Source organism: Homo sapiens, chromosome 15, assembly GCF_000001405.40.
Source record: "Homo sapiens chromosome 15, GRCh38.p14 Primary Assembly".
In the NCBI taxonomy this organism is placed as follows: domain Eukaryota; kingdom Metazoa; phylum Chordata; class Mammalia; order Primates; family Hominidae; genus Homo; species Homo sapiens.
Genome location: NC_000015.10, coordinates 92947838 through 92969143, shown reverse-complemented (window position 1 = coordinate 92969143; position 21306 = coordinate 92947838). Strand labels below are relative to the sequence as shown.

General features: G+C 37.2%; 1 protein-coding gene across 2 annotated transcripts in view, besides 1 other annotated feature; it reads right to left on the bottom strand.

Annotated features, from left to right (window-relative positions):
• CHD2 (chromodomain helicase DNA binding protein 2) overlaps positions 1 to 21306 on the bottom strand; it is a 127673-nt gene that overhangs the window by 58853 nt on the left and 47514 nt on the right. Inside the window, exons 13-17 of one of the 2 annotated variants that reach the window (NM_001271.4) lie at positions 20068 to 20192; positions 15571 to 15787; positions 13632 to 13721; positions 12495 to 12685; positions 1631 to 1819 (exon numbers count right to left, since the gene is read on the bottom strand). In NM_001271.4, coding sequence (NP_001262.3) covers positions 1631 to 1819; positions 12495 to 12685; positions 13632 to 13721; positions 15571 to 15787; positions 20068 to 20192 — 812 coding nt within the window. Of the gene's footprint in view, positions 1 to 1630; positions 1820 to 12494; positions 12686 to 13631; positions 13722 to 15570; positions 15788 to 19909; positions 20193 to 21306 lie in introns of those variants that run through there. The other variant, NM_001042572.3, reaches the window with a different exon arrangement.
• Positions 18256 to 19455: an enhancer, noted in NCBI's record as "MED14-independent group 3 enhancer chr15:93492919-93494118 (GRCh37/hg19 assembly coordinates)". NCBI's record gives its function as "activates an origin of replication core promoter dependent on BRD2, BRD4, P300/CBP and CDK7 cofactors, and independent of MED14, by STARR-seq in HCT116 cells {active_cell/tissue: HCT116}" and the evidence as "EXISTENCE:reporter gene assay evidence [ECO:0000049][PMID:35650434]".

Below are 21306 nucleotides of genomic sequence, written 5' to 3'. Positions count from 1 at the left end.
AATAGCACTGACCAACTGACACATTCATGTTGTTACTAAGGTAACACTATTTCCCCTTTTACATTTTACAGTATTAAACTATTTTCAGAGGAAAAACAGAAACAAACAAATATCATTTCCTAGTAAAGGAGTATGCAGAACTTCTTGGATAAATGGCTGACTCTAGTTCTGGGGCAGGAAATGTACAAGATGGATGTGGAACACTTAATCATTCCAGATAGCAAAGAAACTATCAACTACTATTACGGTTATGTCAAAAGGACTACAACAACCAACTTGAATGAGTTCCCACTAGCTAAAAATGGGACTGTTAGAGCATGAATATGGATATTAACTCCAACAGAATTAAACATAAATAGGTGTAATTGATGAGTTCATAATCATATCAAAGTAAATCTCATTGGTCAAAACCTTTGAAGAAAAGTAGATCTTTTCCTTTGAAAATGGCAAAAGTAAAAAAGAATCTTATTCTGCCTTTCCTACATGAACTGTTCCTCAGCTGACATGGGAAAGTTTCTTTTTATAAAAGTATTCCACCTAATAAACAAGTGAGTGATAAAATTTGAATATCACCCTTTTGTACTCTCTAATGAATTAACAGATCTAGGCAATGCTCATCGTTAGTCACTAACATCACAAAAAAGGACATTTATCCTGTGAAACAATATTCCTCTGCCTCTAAAGTCACACTGAATCTGAGTCTAATCAAGCCTTTACACTTACTTATGAGTATACAGAAAACACAGTTCAGAGGAAAAGTGGTTTTTAAAAATTTTTTTATTTTTATAGAGATGGAGTCTCACTGTGTTGCCCAGGCTGGTCTCAAACTACTGGGCTCAAGCGATCCTCCTGCCTCAGCCTCCCAAAGTGCTGGGATTATAGGCGTGAGCCACCACACCTGGCTGAAAATATTAAAGAATGCCATGGAGCTAGAATCAGCAAAATCCAGACTGTGAGAAAAGTCTACAAAACATAAATTCAGTTTCCTGACTCAAAAAATTTATAAGGCAAAGAAAAATAAATTGATTAAAATATACTTAAGAGACATACCAACCAATCAAAATGCATGGAGCTTATATCGATCCCCAAACAAGCAAAATGCATGGAGCTTACGTTGATCCCAAAATAAGCAAAATGCACGGAGCTTACATCGATCCCAAAACAAGCAAAATGCACGGAGCTTACATCGATCCCAAAACAAGCAAAATGGCACATGCACAAACGGAGATATACATACATGTATATGACAACCAGGAAAATGTAAACACTAGATATTACGAAACTGTTAAGGAATTATTAAAATTTTTTAGACATAACAACAGTATTGAAATTTTGCTTAATAACAACAAAACGTTGGGAGGCCGAGGTGGGCGGATCACCTGAGGTCGGGAGTTCAAGACCAGCCTGACCAACATGGAAAAATCCCATCTCTACTAAAAATACAAAAAAAATTAGCTGGGCGTGGTGGCGCATCCCTGTAATCCCAGCTACTCGGTAGGCTGAGGCAGCAGAATCGCGAGACTCTGTCTCCAAAAAAAAAAAAAACAAAAGTATATATATATATCTCCTATCTAATAGTTTCATGGTACTGATCTCAACCCCTTCAGGCCTAACCCAAACAAGAACTTACTTGTAATACTGTTTCTGAAGGGCTGACATCTCCACCCTGAGAATCTGTTCCACTTTAGCAGGAAGGGATTTCTCCACATCTTTTTTGACTCTCCGGAGAAGGAAAGGCTCTAGCACCTTATGAAGACTCTGGTAGCCATTTTCTCTCCCCTTCCCATGGTCTTCTTCAAAATCTTCCCAAAATTCAAACCTAGGGAAGAAACAGTATAGTGTTATTTAGCCACATTGAGGAAAAGAAGAATAGGAAAAAAAACTGTAAAAAAATGAATCTTTCCCATAAGGAAAGACATTATCAATCACTAGAGCTCTTAAATAGAAGGGAAAACAAAAAGGGGAAAAGTAAAATGAAATCAACTCCATCAGTCTACACTGGATAATAGCACGTTTCCAATTCTCAGACTGAATTCAGAGTTAATAAAATACTTCAGTCTATCATGTAACCAACATCATCTAGAACTACTCAGTAACTACTCAAAGCACATGCCCTCTGGTAAGATGGAACGTCAGATATAGCTGGTGCCAGTACTGCCAATGGATACAACAGCCTCAAGAAAGTCACCGTCATTTCTGAACTCATAAATAGTCATTCCTTTTTTTTTTTTTTTGAGACAGAGTCTCGCTCCGTCGCCCAGGCTGGAATGCAGTGGCACAATCTCAGCTCACTGCAACCTCCACCTCCCAGGCTCAAGTGATTCTCCTGCCTCAGCCTCCCAAGTAGCTGGGATTACAGGTGCCACCACCACACCCAACTAATTTTTGTATTTTTAGTAGAGACAGGGTTTCATCATGTTGGCCAGGCTGGTCTCAAACTCCTGACCTCAAGTGATCCGCCTGCCTCGGCCTCCCAAAGTGCTGGAATTACAAGTTTGAGCCACCATATCCAGCCATACATTTTATCAGGTATTGTTAAGTGAATCAACATCAGCCTTAGTAACACCCGGTATGGCCTGAAACAATCTACAGGGAAGCAGATTATATGATCTTTTGGGGTAGACATCTAAAGTCGTCATTAAAGCCTACAGCCTGATAAACCTAAGGTAAACTGTATTTTCTCACACTGCTATGCTATTAAGCAAATACTCCAAGAACATAAAATAGGTGAGGAATTAAAACTAATAATTCAAATGCACAATGAAAATTGAACTATCTCTGGCTGGGCGAAGTAGCTCACACCTGTAATCCCAGCACTTTGGGAGGCTGAGGCGGGCGGATCACCTGAGGTCAGGAGTTCGAGACCAGCCTGGCCAACATGGTGAAACCCCATCTCTACTAAAAATACAAAAATTAGCTGGGCATGGTGGCAAGTGCCTATAATCCCAGCTACTCAGGAGGCTGAGGCAGGAGAATCACTGGAACCCAGGAGATGAAGGTTGCAGTGAGCCAAGATCATGCCATTGCACTCCAGCCTGGGTGACAGTGAGACTCTGTCTCAAAAAAAAAAAAAAAAAGAAAAGAAAAAAGAAAGAAAGAAAACTGAACTATCTCAATGCTGGAGATGATACCTCACACACTAAATGTGTGAAGTGACCGGAAATCAGTAGAAGTAGAAATATCACTGTATCAGGCTATTTTCTGAATACCTGAGAGACAATTTCAATAAGCTAATTTACCTAACACATGTTATAATAAATTAAAACTTTACTAATCTAAAAAATTAAATGTAAAGTTTATTTCCAAGATTTACTTCCTCTATGTTTTAAGCAACAAATATTTTCACCTGCCTACTGTACTCTTATTATATTAAGGGAGTTAATATGAGACACTAGTTCTTGATCTACACACACTGAGGAGATATAAGTATCATTTATTTGTTTATGAATTCTCTATGGCTGCTTTTCCTCTAAACAGCAGAGATGAGTGGCTAACAATGACTGTGTGGGCTATGAACCAAAAATATTTACCATCAGATTCTGAGTTGGTTTTTTTTTTTTTTTTTTTTTTTTTTTTTTGGAGAAAGAGTCTCGGCTCTGTCGCCCAGGCTGGAGTGCAGTGGTGCGATCTCGGCTCACTGCAAGCTCTGCCTCCTGGGCTCCTGGGTTGACGCCATTCTCCTGCATCAGCCTCCTGAGCAGCTGGAACTACAGGCGCCCACCATCACACCCGGCTAATTTTTTGTATTTTTAGTAGAGACAGGGTTTCACCGTGTTAGCCAGGATGGTCTCGATCTCCTGACCTCGTGATCTGCCCACCTCAGCCTCCCAAAGTGCTGGGATTACAGGCGTGAGCCACCACGCCCGGCATACTATCAGATTCTTTAGAAAAAGTCTGCTGCCCTGAAAACAATTATTAATTTATAATATTAGATATAGAAAAGGTATAAGGTCATAGTGGTGATGTATAAAGACACCATGTTACATCTAAAGATTCATATTTTAGATAAATCCCTGCTATCAACTTCTGTATTTAATATTTGTCTCTCACAGAACTAGAAAAAATTCTGATCTTTATAGCTTTGCAGAACACGGAATTTTAGAAAAATAGGTTACTTTAATAAGGACCAACAACGGAAATTAAACCAAAGCAGTGAAAATGGTATGCTAAAAGTCACACAGTAAATATGTAAAAGGAAAAGTGCAAAAAAAATTAAGAGATTGGCCTAGACGACAGAAGTAAAAATTTAAAAAATCATCCCAACACTAAAAGATGTAATCTCTGAAATACATGCTATCAAACTGACTTGTTTTCTGCGGTAAGTCTGAAGTATATATTTGCACATGATGGTCTTTATAAGCCGAATTTTTCAATCTTGTCATATCTTTTTCTACCCTTAATACCAAGTTCCATGCTTTGCAAACAGTATGTACAAAATGAAGCTATTGATTGATAAGTATTCCCAATATGGTTAGTCATGTGTACTCCCTGTCAGAGCCACCCTGCAGGAAAGGCACTTAGACTCTATACTAAGGAAACAGAATTTCAGTTGGTTAAAAAGAGGACTAACTTTTGGATTTTGAAACAATAGCCTGTAACATTTGAGTGGGGAAGTTCCAAAGCTATTTGACTAAACCTAATTCTCTCCTTTACAATAGTTTTTCTTCAGTGGATCCTTTCTTCAAAAGCTCTGTAGAGTCCTAAGGTACCTCAGGAACTTCTGCTGAGGATGAGGCAAAATACTTCACAAGACTATAGTTACCCATCCAGCAAGCTCAGGCAGAAATAAGGGCAAATCTGAACTCCTTAACTAATTGGTTTCCTTTTCATATACATATCTTTGTGAACAACAATTTTGAAACTTTATTTGAAAATGACAATGCTTTAAACACAAAATTTTCAAAGAAAAAAAGATCTCTTTCACAGAAAAAAACTTGCATCTCTAACTCTAACCTATCATTCCATAATTGATTCAACTGGCCAAAGGAAAATTTTGGAAGAGACTCCCTGAATGATAAAGTAATTGAAAGTTCCTCTCTCCAATTACAAAAGAAGGATATATGACATTTTTCCAAACATAGCCCATGCTGAGTGGAATGCCACAGCTACTTAATGGCAGGAAAAAGCTAATTATGACCACTTAGGAGCAAAATCCCTACCATCCACTTCAGCAGGTAGGTACACAAAAGCAAATCATGGCTAAGTATTCACTGGTAGAAACTACATACCACAATTCTTTTTCTATAAAAACAAGCACAGATGTTCCCACTGTGTCTCATAACTCTTACTACGTAGGGTGACCTTACTTCGTCTCAATGGTTTTATGAAGGATGTATTTTTTTCTCCTAGAACTTGAAGTTCAAAGGACACTGGCCTTGGTCACAGAAGATTTGCTATTGATCTTCGTCTATCTACTTATTGACTGTGTCATACGGGACATCTTTTAATCATCTAAGCCAGCATATTCTTATTTGCAATATGTAAATAAAGGAAGCCCTTCAGACTAAAAGAAAGCAATACCCAACAGCGACCTGAATACACAGGAAGAAATGAAGATCACTGAAAATGATCAAATATATGGATAAATATGAAAGATAGTATATATTTTTTTTCTCTTTTCTATATGTCCTTAAAAGACAAACCTGTGGAAAGCAATAATTATTTCCTTGTATTCTTGGATTTATAACATAAGGAAGTGAAAATGGAGCTACAGCGGGGCAAAGTTGCCCTATTTTACCAGAACTGAGTCAGTACTAACCTGAAGAAGACTGATGCATACAATCCCTACAGCAACCAATTACAATTTTTTTAATAGCAAAAAATTAACAGGAATTAAAATGACACACTGAAAAATACTTGCTGAAACAGAAGAGGGCAATAAAGGAGAAAGTGGAACAAAAAAGATGTAAGACATATGGAAAACAAATAGTAAAATAGCAGAAATAAATCCAACCATATTATTAATTCTGTTAAATGTAAATGAACTAAATATTCCAATCAAAAGGCAAGGATTATTTGCCTGGATAAAAAAGGTACATCCAAGTACAGGTTGTCTATAAGACACATTTTAGACTTACAGAAAGAAGTAAGTTGAAAGTAAAATGATGGAAAACAGTATACCATGCAAATGGTAACCAGTTCGAATGATGGAAAACAATATATCATGCAAACAGGAATCAGAAGAGAGCTGAGGAGCTATAATAAAATCACACAAAATGGATTTACAAAACAATAAATATCATTAGAGGTCAAATGGGACATTCTGATATTGACCAGAAAAAGGTCAATACCTCAGGAACATACAAAAGTTATGAATGGATACATACCTAACAGAACAACCCCAAAATAATGAAGCAAAAAATGACTAGAAGACAAAAACTCAACTACAGTTAAAAATTAAAATATTTCATTCTCAATAATTCAAAGCACAACTAAACTGGCAGTTAGAAAAGATATAAAAGTCTTGAACAACACCATTAACACCACACTGAACGGACATTTACAAAACACTACTCAAACAAAGGCAGAATACAGATTATTCTTTACAAGCACTTATCGGACAGTCTCCAGGAAAGAAAGCATACTAAGACTATTTAATAAGTCATAATAAATTCATTTAAAGCATGTTCTCTAAGACAAAACCGAATTATAAGACATTTGGAAAATCCCTAAATATATGGATATTAAACACCATCCTTCTGAAAAACCCATGCTTCAAAGAATAAATCACAGAGAATTTAGAAAATAGATGAAATCAAATGAAAACAAAAACACAAAATTATCAGTATTTACAGGATGCAGCTAAAGCAGTGCATAGAAGTAAACATACCTTTAAACAACTAGAAAAGAAAAAAGTTTTACATCAGTAATCTAAACTGTATCTTAAGAGAAAAAGAGAAAATTAAATGAAAAGCAAGCAAAGGACGGCAACCTTTGAGAGTGGAAATAAACAGAAAAACAGAGGGTCCGGGCACGGGGGCTCACGCCTGCAATCCCAGCACTTTGGCAGGCCAAGGCAGGCAAATCACAAGGTCAGGAGTTCAAGACCAGCCTGGCCAACTTGGTGAAACCTCGTCTCTACTAAAAATACAAAAATTAGCCAAGCGTGGTGGCAGGTGCCTGTAATCCCAGCTACTCAAGAGGCTGAGGCAGGATAATCACTTGAAACTGGAAGGCGGAGGTTGCAGTGAGCCGAGATCGCACCCTGCACTCCAGCCTGGGCAACAAATGCAAAACTCAGTCTCAAAAAAAAAAAAAAAAAAAAAAAGAGAAGAAAAAACAGAGGAAGAAACCAATGATGTCAAAAGTTGCTTCTTTGAGAGCATCAAAATTGTTAAGCCCTTAGCTAGAACTGACCAAGAAAAAGAGCTAAGATACAAATTACCATAATCAAGAAAATTAACTTTAATCACTATTGATCCTTAAAAGAATCTACCAGGCACAGTGGTTCATGCCTATTATCTCAGCATTTTAGGAAACAGAGGCGGGAGGATCACTTGAGCCCAGAAGTTCGAGACCAACCTGGACAACTCAGCAAGAACCCATCTCTACAAATAACAAAAAATAAATTTTAAAAATTAGCTGGGCATTGTGGTGCACATCTGCAGCCCCAGCTACTCAAGAGACAGAAGTGGGAGGATCCCTTGAGCCCAGGAGTTCGAGGTTACAGTGAACTATGATCGTACCACTGCACTCAGCGTGGGTGACAGAGAAAGACCATGTCTCTTAAAAAAGAAAACTAAAATTAAAAGGCTAAGAGAGTACTATAACTTTATGCCAACAAATTAGGACAAGTTAGATGAAACAGACTAACTCTTAGAAAGACACAAATTAACAAAACTAAGTCAAGAAGAATAGAAAACTTAAGTGAACCTGTAACTGGAAACCAGGTTAGTCATTAAAAATTTTCCCACAAAGTGAAGGTTGACATGGCTACACTGGTGAATTCTAGTAAATATTTAAAGAAGAAATAACACTAAACTTACACAAACTCCTTCAGAAAACAGAAGGGAAACGCTCTCCAATTCATTTTATGATCCCAAAACCAAAGCAACGTAAACATCAAAACAAAACAAAAAGCTATAGACTAAAATCCTAATTAAAATAAAAAACACAAATGCGGCCAGGCACAGTGGCTCACGCCTGTAATCCCAGCACTTTAGGCGGCGGAGACAGGCAGATGCAGATCACTTACGGCCAGGAGTTCGAGACCAACCTGGCTGACATGGCAAAACCCCACTGTCTCTACGAAAAATACAAAAATTAGCCGGGCATGGTGGTGCATGCTTGTAATCCCAGCTACCTGGAAGGCTGAGGCATGAGAAATGCTTGAACCTGGGAGGTGGAGGTTGCAGTGAGCCGAGATGGTGCCATTGTACTCTAGCCTGGGCAACAGACGGAAACTCTGTCTTAAAAAAAAAAAAAAAAAAAAAAAAAAACACCAAACAGATGCAAAAATCTTTAACAAAATATTAGCCAACTGAATCTAGCAATGCATAGAAAGTATCAAACACTGTTAACAAGTCAGATTTATGCTAGGAAAAAAAAAGTTGGCCTAATGTCTAAAAAGCAATTAATGTAATATACTATATTGTTAAAGGACAAAACCACATGGTCATCTCAACAGACACAGAAAATAAGCATTTGACAAAACCTAATATCCATTCTTTATTAAAACCTCACAAACTAGGAAGAAAAGAAAACCTCCTCAACCCAATAAAGGTTATCTACAAAAAACATCTATAGCCAACATCCTGCTCCCACCATTTCTATTTAAGATGGAGGTTCCTGCCAATACAATAAGGCAAGAAGAAGAAATAAAAAGCATCCATTTTGGAAAAGAAATCTTTAGGTACAGAAAACATAATCCTGTCTATAGAAAAATACTAAGAAATACAGAACAATATACACACACATACACACACAGTAGAAAACAGTAAGTTTATCAAGTTTGCAGGATGTAAGATCAATATACAAAACCCAATTGTAGTTCTATAATAGGTTATATTTTTAAAAATTCCACTCCAAATATAGTCAGAATTAAAAGAATATTTTGAATGTATAAGATTTCTAAACTAAAAACCACTAAACACTGAGAAAAATTATAGAAGATCTAAATAAATGGAGAAAAACTTTCCATGATTATGGATTAGAAGACTCAATATTAATAATTTTGCTTTAACTGATATATGATTCAACACAATTTCTATCAAAATTCCATATTTTTCTTGCAGAAATTAACAACCTGATCCTAAAATGTACATGGAAGTATCAAGAATTCTAGAATAACCAAAACAATTTTGAAAAAGAAGAAAATGGAACTTGTACTTCTCCATTTTTAAAAAGCAGTCTAGGCCGGGTGCAGTGGCTCACGCCTATAATACCAGTACTTTGGGAGGCCAAGGACGGTGGATCACTTGAGGTCAGGAGTTCGAGACCAGCCTGGCCAACATGGCAAAACCCCATTTCTACTAAAATACAAAAAATTAGTTGAGCATGGTGGTGCGTGCCTGTAATCCCAGCTACTTGGGAGGCTGAGGCAGGAGAATCACTTGAGCCCGGGAGGCAGACGTTGCAGTGAGCTGAGATTGCGCCACTTCCCTTCCAGCCTGGGTGACAGAGCAAGGCTCCATCTCAAAAAAAATAAAAAATAAAAAAACAGTCGAAAGCTACATTAATCAAGACAGTGTGACATTGGCAGAAGGACAGAAATATGTATTAATAAAACAGAACTGACAGTCCAGAAACAAAGCATGACATTTATGGTGTCAACTGAGTTTCAACAACAGTGTCAAGGCAATTCAATGAAGAACAGATATTCTTTTCAACAAGTGATACTAGAACAATTTCCCAAATTCTACTACAAAAACATGAACTAAGGCACTCACACTTCACACTATAAACAAAATGTAACTCTGACTTAATACAAAAGCTAGAACTTCTAGAAGGAAATAAAGAAGCAAGTCTTCGTGTCCATAGGTTAGGCAAATCTGTGTCAGATATGATATCTAAAGCACAATCCATACAAAGAAATCCATAAATTAAACTTCATCAAAATCAATAACTTTTTCTCTTTGAAAGACAACATTCAAAAAGTGAAAAGAAGCCACAGATTGGGATAAAATATGTTCAAATTATATACAGATGCTCCTCAACTTACAACAGGGTTATGTCCTGAGAAACCCATCGTAAGTTTAAAACATTGTTAAATCAAAAATGCATTTAATGCACTTAACCTACAGAACATCACACCGTAGCCTACCCTGAATGTGCTCAGAACGCTTATCATGAGGATATTGAGCAAAATCACCTAACGCAAAGCCAACTTTATAATAAAGAGTTGAATATCTCATGTAATTTATCGAATATTACACTGAAAATGAAAAACAGAATGGTTGTGTTCATTCAAAGTATACTTTCTACTGAAAGTGTATTGCTTTCATACCACTGAAAAGTCAAAACATTTTACATCAAACTATAGAAAGTTGGGGACTGTACTGATAAAGCACTTGTCTTTAGAATTTTTTTAAAAGAAATAAAAAACCTCTTCAACTCATAATAAGACAAACAATCCAATTTTTTTAACCCATTTATGATAGAGGTTGCAATTTTTTGAATTTTTTGCAATCAGACCTTGGCAATGACCTTGAGCAGTAGGATATAAATAATTCCCACATGCTTAGAGTTCCAATGACGGAACACGACGCCTGAGTTAAAATGCCAAAACATTTGAATAGAAATTTCACCAAAGACATACAAATGGCTAATGAACACATGAAAAGACGTTCAACATCATTAGTCATTAGGGAAATGCAAGTCAAAACCACAATGACACACATTCGCCAGAACGGCTAGAATCAAAAAGACTGACAATGCACCAAGTCCTGGTGATGACGCAGGGAAACTAGAACCTTCAAACATTTTTGGTAGGACTGCACAATGGTAGTCACTTTAGAAAACAGCGTGGTAGTTTCTAAAATGTTAAACATAAACTTTCCAAACAATCCAGCAATTCTATTCCTAAGTCTCTAAGCAAGAGAAAGAAAAACATATGTCCACACAAAGATATAATAACCCCAAAACAAAGCAATCCAAATGTCCATCAACCGGTAACTGGATGCAATGAAATATTACCCAATGAAAGAGAACACCTACTGACAGACTCTGACATGAATGAATCTCAAAAAAAATATGCTAAGTGAAGGAAGCCGGAAACAAAAGCCTACATATTAGGATTCCACTTATATAAAACTTCTAGAAAAGGTAAATCTCTAGAGACAAAAGCTGATTACTGGTTGCCTAAGGCTATATGTGGAAGCAGAGGTTAACTGCAAACAAGCAAGGGGGAACTTTTTGGGATGAGGAAAATGTTCCAAAACTGGACAATGATGATGGTTGCAAACTATAAAGTTACTAAACAAATTTAAATTTAAAATTTAAAAATAAAAATAAAAGTAAAAAATAAAATTTAATCCTGAATTAAAAAAAAAAAGATTGTAGAGCATATATCTATCAACTGAACAACTATTAACTGAATTGTTTACTGTGCACCAGGTGCTATTCTAGACAATGGGAACCAGCAATGAATCAAGCAAACAAAATCCCTGCGATTTTCATACATAATTTAATGACATGAGATGAATGAGAACATAAATGTAAAAAGAGATGCTATATAGACACTAAAACAGGTTAGGGATAAGATGTCTAAAGGGCTACTTTAGGTTAGGCAATCTGCAAAAGATTTCTGAAAGGAGGTGGTCGTTTAAGATGAGCTGAAACATTAAGGTGGTTGGCCATGTGAAGACAAGAAGAAATATAATTCTAGTCAAGAAGGAATAGTAATGGCTTGGCATGTTTAAGGGACAGAAAGATAGCCAGAATGGCTGAAGCATAATGAGTAATGGAGAAAGTGGATGAGAGGAATCAGACTATTGTCAAGGGGCCAGACTGAGTGGAGTCCTCCAAATTAATGAATATAGATGTTATTCTAAGTATCGCTGAATACCATTGGATAATTTTAAGTTTTATGAAATGTGCATATCATCTCTCCCATAAAAATCTTTTCAATAAACACATTCCATAGTTCTTTAATAATACGTGAATAAGATGTAAAATTGATGCTTCGGTTATCAGATATTTGAGTATAACATACTTTTCAGTGCTTGTGTACCTTGTATATTTCATTTTACTTATATTGATTATCTTATACCAACAGTGAAAAGGTCTGATGTTATCTATTTAACAATTATTTCCCAAGTGCATTAACTAATTCAGCCTTTCAGCAGACAATACTGCTTTCCTCCTTAACAGGCTAATTTCTGTGCCTTCTTTCATTGATTATGAAACATTTTACTACCGCCATCCCTGCCTCCATTTGACGCTTTGCTTTCCCCAAACCATGCCATCTGTTTTCCCTAAGGTCTACTAAGAAAGTTAAAAAGCATTGGCATTTCAGACATTCTAGCATCTTTTGAAATACACAGGAAGGAGCTTACTTCTCCGGCATAATAAAGTGCAGCAAGGACCAGAGCTCTTTGAGGGAATTCTGAAGAGGGGTCCCCGTAATCAGGAGCCTATGGTTGGACTTGAAATCAATCAGAGTTTTATACAATAAAGAGTCATCATTCTTCAACCGATGGGCTTCATCCACTCCCAGAAAGGCCCAGTTAATACTGCCCAGCACAGTCTAAAGTAAAAACAAAACAGAACGAGCCACCAGGTCAGAAGGGAACCCACAAGTGCTTTCAAGTGTTAATTATCTCTGTATAAATACCATTACAAAGGTATAAATTGACACATTTATTCTTCACTGACAATATATATTAGGCCTCTTCTGTTTATTCTGTTAGTTGCCAGATTGGTAGCTATTCAAAAGAGAGTATCATCATCTAAAAGGTATAGGTGGGCCTCTTATACCAGCTATTACTGCATGCCCCACAGCAAGAACACAAAAATTGCTATGCTGGGCAAAAATAAAACAAAAAAACCATATGATTCTGTATTCTCCCCTTAATTATGGTCCTTCTCTTGCCTATTCTCCACCCCAACCCTGAAGCACACAAACACCAAGAGCCACCAAACTCAACTTGTTTGCACTTAATACCAATGGGATCTACCTACCACATATATTTCTTAGCAGAAAGGCGGTATTTAAAGAGCTTCTTATTTTTGTCCTCCTCACAAAGACCATTCACATCATCTTTTCTGGAGAAATGCCTTAACAATGATACAATAGGAAATGCCTAAGATGACATTCAAGGGAAATACCTGAGATGGCATCCAATGACTGACAATAATCTCAGGTAAGTTACTGACCTATTCAATACCCTTTCATTCTGTTTAATTCAACTGGACTTGGTGACCTAAGGTCCCCTCATCTATAGGGTTCTGTTTTCTATTTATAACGTTAATATCCTTTGAAAAGTAATTTTTCTGGTTGTTCATTTGCTTGCTTTTTGAAATAAGAGAAGAAAAGTAACATGGCAAGTAGGAGGTACAGACCCTACCATTTGTTTTTTATTTTTAACTTTCAAGTATTTATTTCTAACATGCTCCACAGAACAGTAACAGACCCTACCATCTGGACAAGTCGCACTGGAAAAGATTTAGCCTTTTAGATATTAATTACACACCTTATCTTTCAAGAGGATCTCATATGTTGTTATAAGTGCGTTGAACTTCAATCTTTTGGTTTGGGAATGAATCCATTCATATTCCCGTATCTATAAGAAAAAAACATAATTAAGACATAATTTCTACTTCTACCTTTCTATATCACATAAGTTTTGTGATTGATGTAATAGAAACATGCCAAATAAAAAATAAATCTGATTAGAATTCAATGAATATCTCACATTCTAAAATGACCTAAGCAACCAAACTATAAAGCAGTAAGAGTTAGAATTAAAACACTGACCACCGAACAGCAAAAGCTTTATTGCCAGAATCAGAAGAAACTGGCCCCCAGAAATACATCTACTGAAGAAAATGCACTTCATCAGCTACTGAACCCTGGTGATTGGAACTCAACAAGGGATCTCCCAGATCCTTAGAAATTTCTTTTAAAAATGCAATTTATTTACTTTTTGAATAGGAAAATACATATATTAACAAGTAAAACAAATTCCAACCTTTGGAACTTCATCAACCATAGACCAAAGAGATATGTCCCCCAACAAAAAGGGAGGCTTGTAAGATGAAAATATAATGCAATACGTATAATAACGTCAATGTAAAAGAACACAAAGATGAGTACATTCATACTGAAGTATAACTGGACACTCAGCAAGCACGAAGACTCATGACAACGCTCTTGCAGTTTGGCTGTCAAGTTAGGAACTGGAGAACAAGACAGTAAGTGCCTGCAGGTGATCGCCCCCAAGTGGGGGTAAAAAGAACAAAGAAAAGGAGAACTGGAGATAGCAAGGAAAACTTCTCTGACTACAATTTTTTAGAGTTCATTTTCTTTGTTTGCAATCATTTTTGGAATGTAGTGCTTTACGCTATTTTGTAAACCTATAAATTTCTCTTTTTTCGTCTTTAACGGTTAACTAATGATTTAACAAAGCTAAAACTATATTCTTAGAAACTCAAAATTAGGCCAATGAAATCAGCCAGTGTTTAAGTTACACAATTTTAATGAAAGTATTTACCAAAAATAAATTTGAATTTGTATGAAAATATATGGTTACAACATGCAACTCAAATATTTAAACATTGCTAATGGCTTGCTCTTATTACAAGCAATTTCCCAGAAATAGTTTATATACAGTGATGAAAGAGCAAAGCTCTAGACTAGATAGAAACACCTGTGTCCGAATCTGAGCTCTGCCACATTCTTGCTCGCTAGGGTCGCGTGTTAAGACTCTCTGAGTCAATTCTTCATCAGTAGCAGGAAAGAATGCCATCAGCTTTGAAGACTATCATGAAGATTACAGGTATTATACGTAAAGCACCCAGCGCAACATCTAGCACACAGTAGGTGCTTTAAAAAAAGTTACTATAAAGAAAAGATCTGCTAAACAAAGATAAACTTAAGTCACTGTGTTCTAAATTCATGATGCCCAAATAAAGTTTGGTAACAGTTTAGGATAATTCTTATTTCTACAGTCCTAAAATAGCTTGTTTTCCTTTACTTTTATTCCTTTTTTATAAGTTATGCAACCTCACTGTTTAAGAAATTAAGAAATTCGAAGAATGATTATTTTCAGTAATATGTCTATTGAGAAAGCAAAAATAATATTAATATTACACAAAGTATTAACTCCATATTATCTCATATAAAGCAATCTTAGAAGTAAAAAGGGCAGAGAGAAGAAAAATTTAATATTGCAACCCAGCTAAAAGAGATTCCCACTCACATACTGCTGTTGCTTTTTAACTAGTAAGCATATTTGTTAAAGAACATCTGAGTTGCACTTTTGTGATAGATAAACCTCCTAATATTGAGAACACAGCACAGTATCAGAATAATAACCACAAATTTTACTGATGATCTACTGAAGGCTTTAAGTGAATTTCTAAATTACATTTATAACACAGATTCTAACCCAGCTCTTTTTGTTTACACACCGTATTTCTGCTCATCAGGTCACCTATGTAAACCACTACGTTAATCTCTGGTGCCCAGATTTCAAACTCTCTCTGCCATGAGGTGAGGGTGGATAAAGGGACGACTATAAGAAAGGGGCCATACAGCTGGTGTTGGTGGAACAGGTAGGAGAGGAATGATATGGTCTGGATGGTCTTTCCTAGGCCCATTTCATCAGCAAGGATTACACTATTATTTCTGCAGAAAGAAAAAATAAATAAAAACAAAAAAATCATTAGTTCACCAAAACACAGAATGTGCATAAACAGCAACGACACCAATGCTTCACAATAACAGCCAAGCAAGGTGTCATTCATAAGCCTCAAATGTATTTCTTCTCATCTGCAATTACTTCAGCTTTCAACATAAGGAAGAAAGTAGAAACCATAAAAAGCAGAATAACAAGTGGCCTACCTAGACTTGGATTACTATGACAGCCTTGTCAGACTCTTTACCTTTAGGCTTTTCACATCACCTTCCATAGGCTATCTTTTATCACAGAGAAGACAGGCTTTGTAAAAAGTGAAGACAAGCATGTAACCTTAGACTCCATCAATAGAGAAAGCTATCAGCACCGCTGGTGAATCCTGTGGCTGGCCCACCCCATTCCACTGCAGGCCACTGGGTTGTTTAATGCCACCCACACTATTTCCTAGACCTACATGTATAGGTGCATGGGGCTTGTTTTAAATACACTTTGGTCTAAAGCAGGGGTAGGCTACAGATCATACTTGTGGACCCCACCCTAGATATACTAAACAATATATGGAAAAGGGCTGACAAACACCTTTGGAGATTCTGACTCAGGTATTCCTTAGACCAGACCAGGATTCCCCACTCGGGAACCCAGCTGCACAGCAGAAGGTGAGCAGCGGGTGAGGGAGGGAAGCTTCATATGTATTTTCAGCCGCTCCCCATTGCTGGCATTAGTGCCTGAGCTCCGCCTCCTGTCAGATCAGCAACGGCATTAGATTCTCATAGGAGCATGAACCCCACTATGAACTACACATGTGAGGGATCTACGTTGCACACTCCTTATGAGAACCTAATGCCTGGTGATCTGTTGCTGTCTCCCATCACCCCCAGATGGGACCGTCCAGTTGCAGAAAAACAAACTCAGGGCTCCCACTGATTCTACATTATATAGTATAATGTAATAATAATAGAAATAAAGTGCACAATAAATGTAATGTGCTTGAATCATCCAGAAACCATCCCCCTCCCTCCTCCCCAGCCTGTGGAAAAATTGTCTTCCACGAAACCAGTCCCTAGTGCCAAAAAGGTTGGGAAGCACTACCTTAAAACCACAGTTTGAGAAACACTACTCTACAAAATGGGCTAGATTTCAACAGGATATTAATGGAAAAAGAATATCTAAGAAAAACATTTAAAATTGAAGAAACAGCCAGAGTTAGGAAAATATATTTGGGAAACAGAATACAGTCATTTTGGCAGGAAATTAGGATTACATGTAAGACATCAGATTGCAAACATTATAAAAAGGTTCTGGAAAATAAGGACACTGAAAGTTTGCACGTATATATAATATGTGCTTAATCAGCAAATCAGAAAGAACTAAAAGTAATTTATGAGTTAAAGGCAACCTAACTGATTCAAAAAACAAGACATTTAATTCACCAAAAAGACATAATTTCTAAAAATACCTTCTGTGTTCTACAAACTAGCTAGTTTAAAGGGTAAAATACAGAAACAAAGAAGATCACACTTGGGAAAGGGAGAATGATGAAGCCATACCCCTATACATCTCAGGTACACCTAATTTTCTACACAGTTTAAACGATGTAGTATATTCCTTTGAGTAATTTCCTTCTTATTTCCCTCACTTTTCAATACTATTCAGGAGGAAGCACAGTTAAGTTTCTCCAGTATTTCCTGCCCCTAGAAAATGCCATTGTCTACATATACAGACTACAGTAGGTTTGAATTGATTCACCTGTTTTTCTGGAACCAGACCAAAATAGCACATTATGTAATGTAGTAACATTCCTGTGACCAGGGCTTAACAGGTGCTTGAGCCCTTTTCAACTGATTTTTATTCCTTTGGTTTAAAGTAAAAAAATGCTGGCCAGGCACGGTGGCTCATGGCTGTAATCCCAGCACTTTGGGAGGCCAAGGCAGGCAGATCACTTGAGGTCAGGAGTTCAAGACCAGCTTGGCCAACATGGTGAAACCCCGTCTCTACTAAAAATACAAAAATTAGCCAGGCATGGTGGTGCGTGCGTGTAATCCCAGCTACTCAAGAGCCTGAGGCAGGAGAATCACGTGAACCTGGGAATCGGAGGTTGCAGTGAGCCAAGATCATGCCACTGCGCTCCAGCCTGGGCAACAGAGCAAAACTCAGTCTCAAAAAAACTAAAAAATAAAAAGTCTAAAAAATGCTGGCCAAGGACTGTACACAAAACACCATGTGACTCTGGATGGGTACACGGCACCTTTGTTCCTAAGAGTCTTCAATTATAAAATGAGAGGATTAGATCACAATTAAAGTTCATCTAACTTTTATTAACTGTCATTTAGATGAATTAGGTCCCACTAACCTCTAAAAGGAAAAATCATTTTTAAGCAATTCAGAATCATTATATCAAACCCACATTCTCAATCTTCTCAAGACACCTAATTTTCACAACTGAGTATTAAATATTGTACTAGATTTTATCAGATAAAAAGTAGGAGATGGTTCACTTGGGAAAAAGTCACTGTAAATGCATCTCTATAACTAGAAAGCTTCCTTTCAGCAATGAGGGGAAAAATATTTTTTAAGCTGTCCTTTTTTTTTTTTTTAAGGTGAAGTTTCACTTTGTCACCCAGGCTGGAGTGCAATGGTGCGAAAATGGCTCACTGCAACCTTGGCCTCCTGGACTCAAGCGATCCTCCCACCTCAGCCCCCAAGTAGCTGAGACTACATAAGCATGCCACCATGTCCAGCTAATTTTTGTATTTTTTGGTAAAGATGGGGTTTTGCCATGTTGCACAGGCCTGTACTTCTAATTCTAAATAAGGATTTTTTGCTTTACTATAAAACACTAAAGACATTAAGCATTTGCACTTAATTGGGTACTTCGGGAAAGAAGTGTGTAGGTTGGCATTAAAGGTACTTCTTACACTGCATGTTCTGTAAGGACAGCAAAATACATCTATATAGGTTCACTGTTAAATTCTCGAGGACTAATGGATCCGCATGTGAAAAGTAAAAAGTTCCTCTTCAAAGTTTCCCTTTTTGTTAAAGAATAAATAACAAGTGTTAGAAATAACAGTTTCTTTTAGAAATTAACTTCCTTCAAGCTCCCTTGCTTTTTGCTAATAACTCTTTGTTAAGCCCTATGTGGCTGTTAAATATAGTAAGGGAATAAGTACATTCTATGTCCTTGTACTTTAACCAGGTTATTTGTTCTGGACTATAACCTGCTCAGACATGTCCGAACGTGCCCAGGCATTTCCCAGCTTACAGCCTACACCCCTTCCTTATTTGGAAATGTTATTATTCTCCTAATTTCCTGTAAACAACCCCCTTCCTTTGTTTTCCACTGCGCGTTTATCTATTTAGGAAAGTTTTAAGCTTTTAGCCAATCGGAATCAGTCTAGATTGTGCGGTCCAGCTCCAGCCAATGGAGACAGGACGCAGCAGTAAGAACCCAATGAGTCAGGGATAAAAACCTCTGCTTTTCTTTGTTCGGTGTGCTCTCATGACAATTAGGCTTCCAAGAAGCACCCTTTCTGCAGAAAGTAAAATTGCCTTGCTGAGAAAATTCCTTGAGCACTAGTTCTTTTCAGCACCGAGGAACAAGCATTTGTTTCTAACACCTAGCACTTAGTAATTAGGAACTACTTGAAATTGGTGAAGGAAATTTGTAAGTACTTCCCAAAAGTACCTTTAAACCTCCAGTGCTATCACTGTCTCATCTTTTTTTCACCCCCCCAAGATTAACGTGGTCTTATAAAAAGGATACTTTCACAGGTTCAACCTTCCTCTGAACAGGATAATCCTACAGACTATATAGGTAGGGAGTGGAGTGAAGGGAGGGGAATCACACTCTCTACAGCACTACTGTAGGAAATTAATTTAAAGGCTTCCCTGGCCTAGAAAGAAAATACATGTGAAAAAGACATCTTCTTCTTTCTTCTGAGTAACTCCTTCCACATTAAAGATTTGAGTGACTTAACTTGCTATATACACTCATGAGTAACATATGATGATACAGGTTTCTGGCTATGACAAATTACCCACCAAATAATGAAATAAAGTATTCTTTAGATCAGAATAAAATGGTATTACACATACATAAAAACTCCCAGGAAGCATTTCTCTCAATCATCTTTTATTTCTGTAATATGCAGCATAAAGATTTCTTGGTTGAGATACAATAAGGGTGTGAAAAAAGAAAAAAAAAATTCTTGACATCTAACAATAAAGAAGCCAGAAACAGTAAGGAAAATTGCACTCATATTTTTCTACCTACTTGCACCAGGAATGAGCTAGCCAGTTTAGACCTTCTAGCTGATAATCTCGAAGTTCCAGATTCTCCCCTCCTAAATATGCAGGTTGTTTCTTTAAAGCTACAAATCGTGGTCTCTGCTTCAGGGCCTGAAAAACAAAAGCCCAAGTCTGAGAAAATGTTCTTACTGCTACTATGTTAAAACGCTAGCCACAATTCACATATTCGGCATCAAAGCATAAAAACTCAAATTTCTTTTTTTGAGACGGAGTCTTGCTCTGTCACCCAGGCTGGAGTGCAGTGGCCCAATCTCGGCTCACTGCAAGCTCTGCCTCCCGGGTTCACGCCATTCTCCTGCCTCAGCCTCCCAAGTAGCTGGGACTACATACAGGCGCCCGCCACCACCCACGCCTGGCTATTTTTGTATTTTTAGTAGAGATGGGGTTTCACCATGCTAGCCAGGATGGTCTCGATCTCCTGACCTCGTGATCTGCCCACCTCGGCCTCCCAGAGTGCTGGGATTACAGGCGTGAGCCACCGCGCCTGGCCAAAAACTTAAATTTCATGTGTGTGAATCACCACCTCACTCCATCACCCCTTTCTTCATGGTTAATATTCCATAAGCCAGAGTTAGTTCATCCTCAAATAAAATATTTTTAGTTAACTTGCCCCTTTCCTGAAATAAATCTATGAACATCATTAAATAGCACTTTAGGTCTTGTCTATTATATGGCAGTCAGAGTCTCCTATTTTTCAGAAACAACTATCTTTCTGTTATCTGATTCTAAAGAGTACAAAACATTGCCTCCAGCTGTCATATGCTAAATACAGTTGATCTTCACCATAACAGGATTTGTAAATTCAGAAATGCCGCCCATCTACCTTAAACCCTTTAATTGCGTGAATTTGGTTTTCCCTTCAGAAACAAGCTTCTGAAGGGAAGGTTGTTTTCACCCCCAGAAGCTTAAAGGATAGCATTCTAGTGAGGTCAGTCTCTATGGTTTGCATAAAATGTGGATTCTGTGGCCAAATCAGTTTAGGAAACAACCGATCAAAAAGTTATACAATTTCTTTACTCATGACTTTTCAAAGTCTGAAATGTGTGTCCATAGCGTGAATTTACAGGAGAAATTCATTCAGGGATGTATCTCAAAGTTACATGGCCAAAAAGTCTTTTTTCAGGGGACTTTTCTCTGAAGATTAGTGCTCTATAGCACACATTATGAGAAGTATCATTCTAATAAGAATATTTGATAAGGTTAT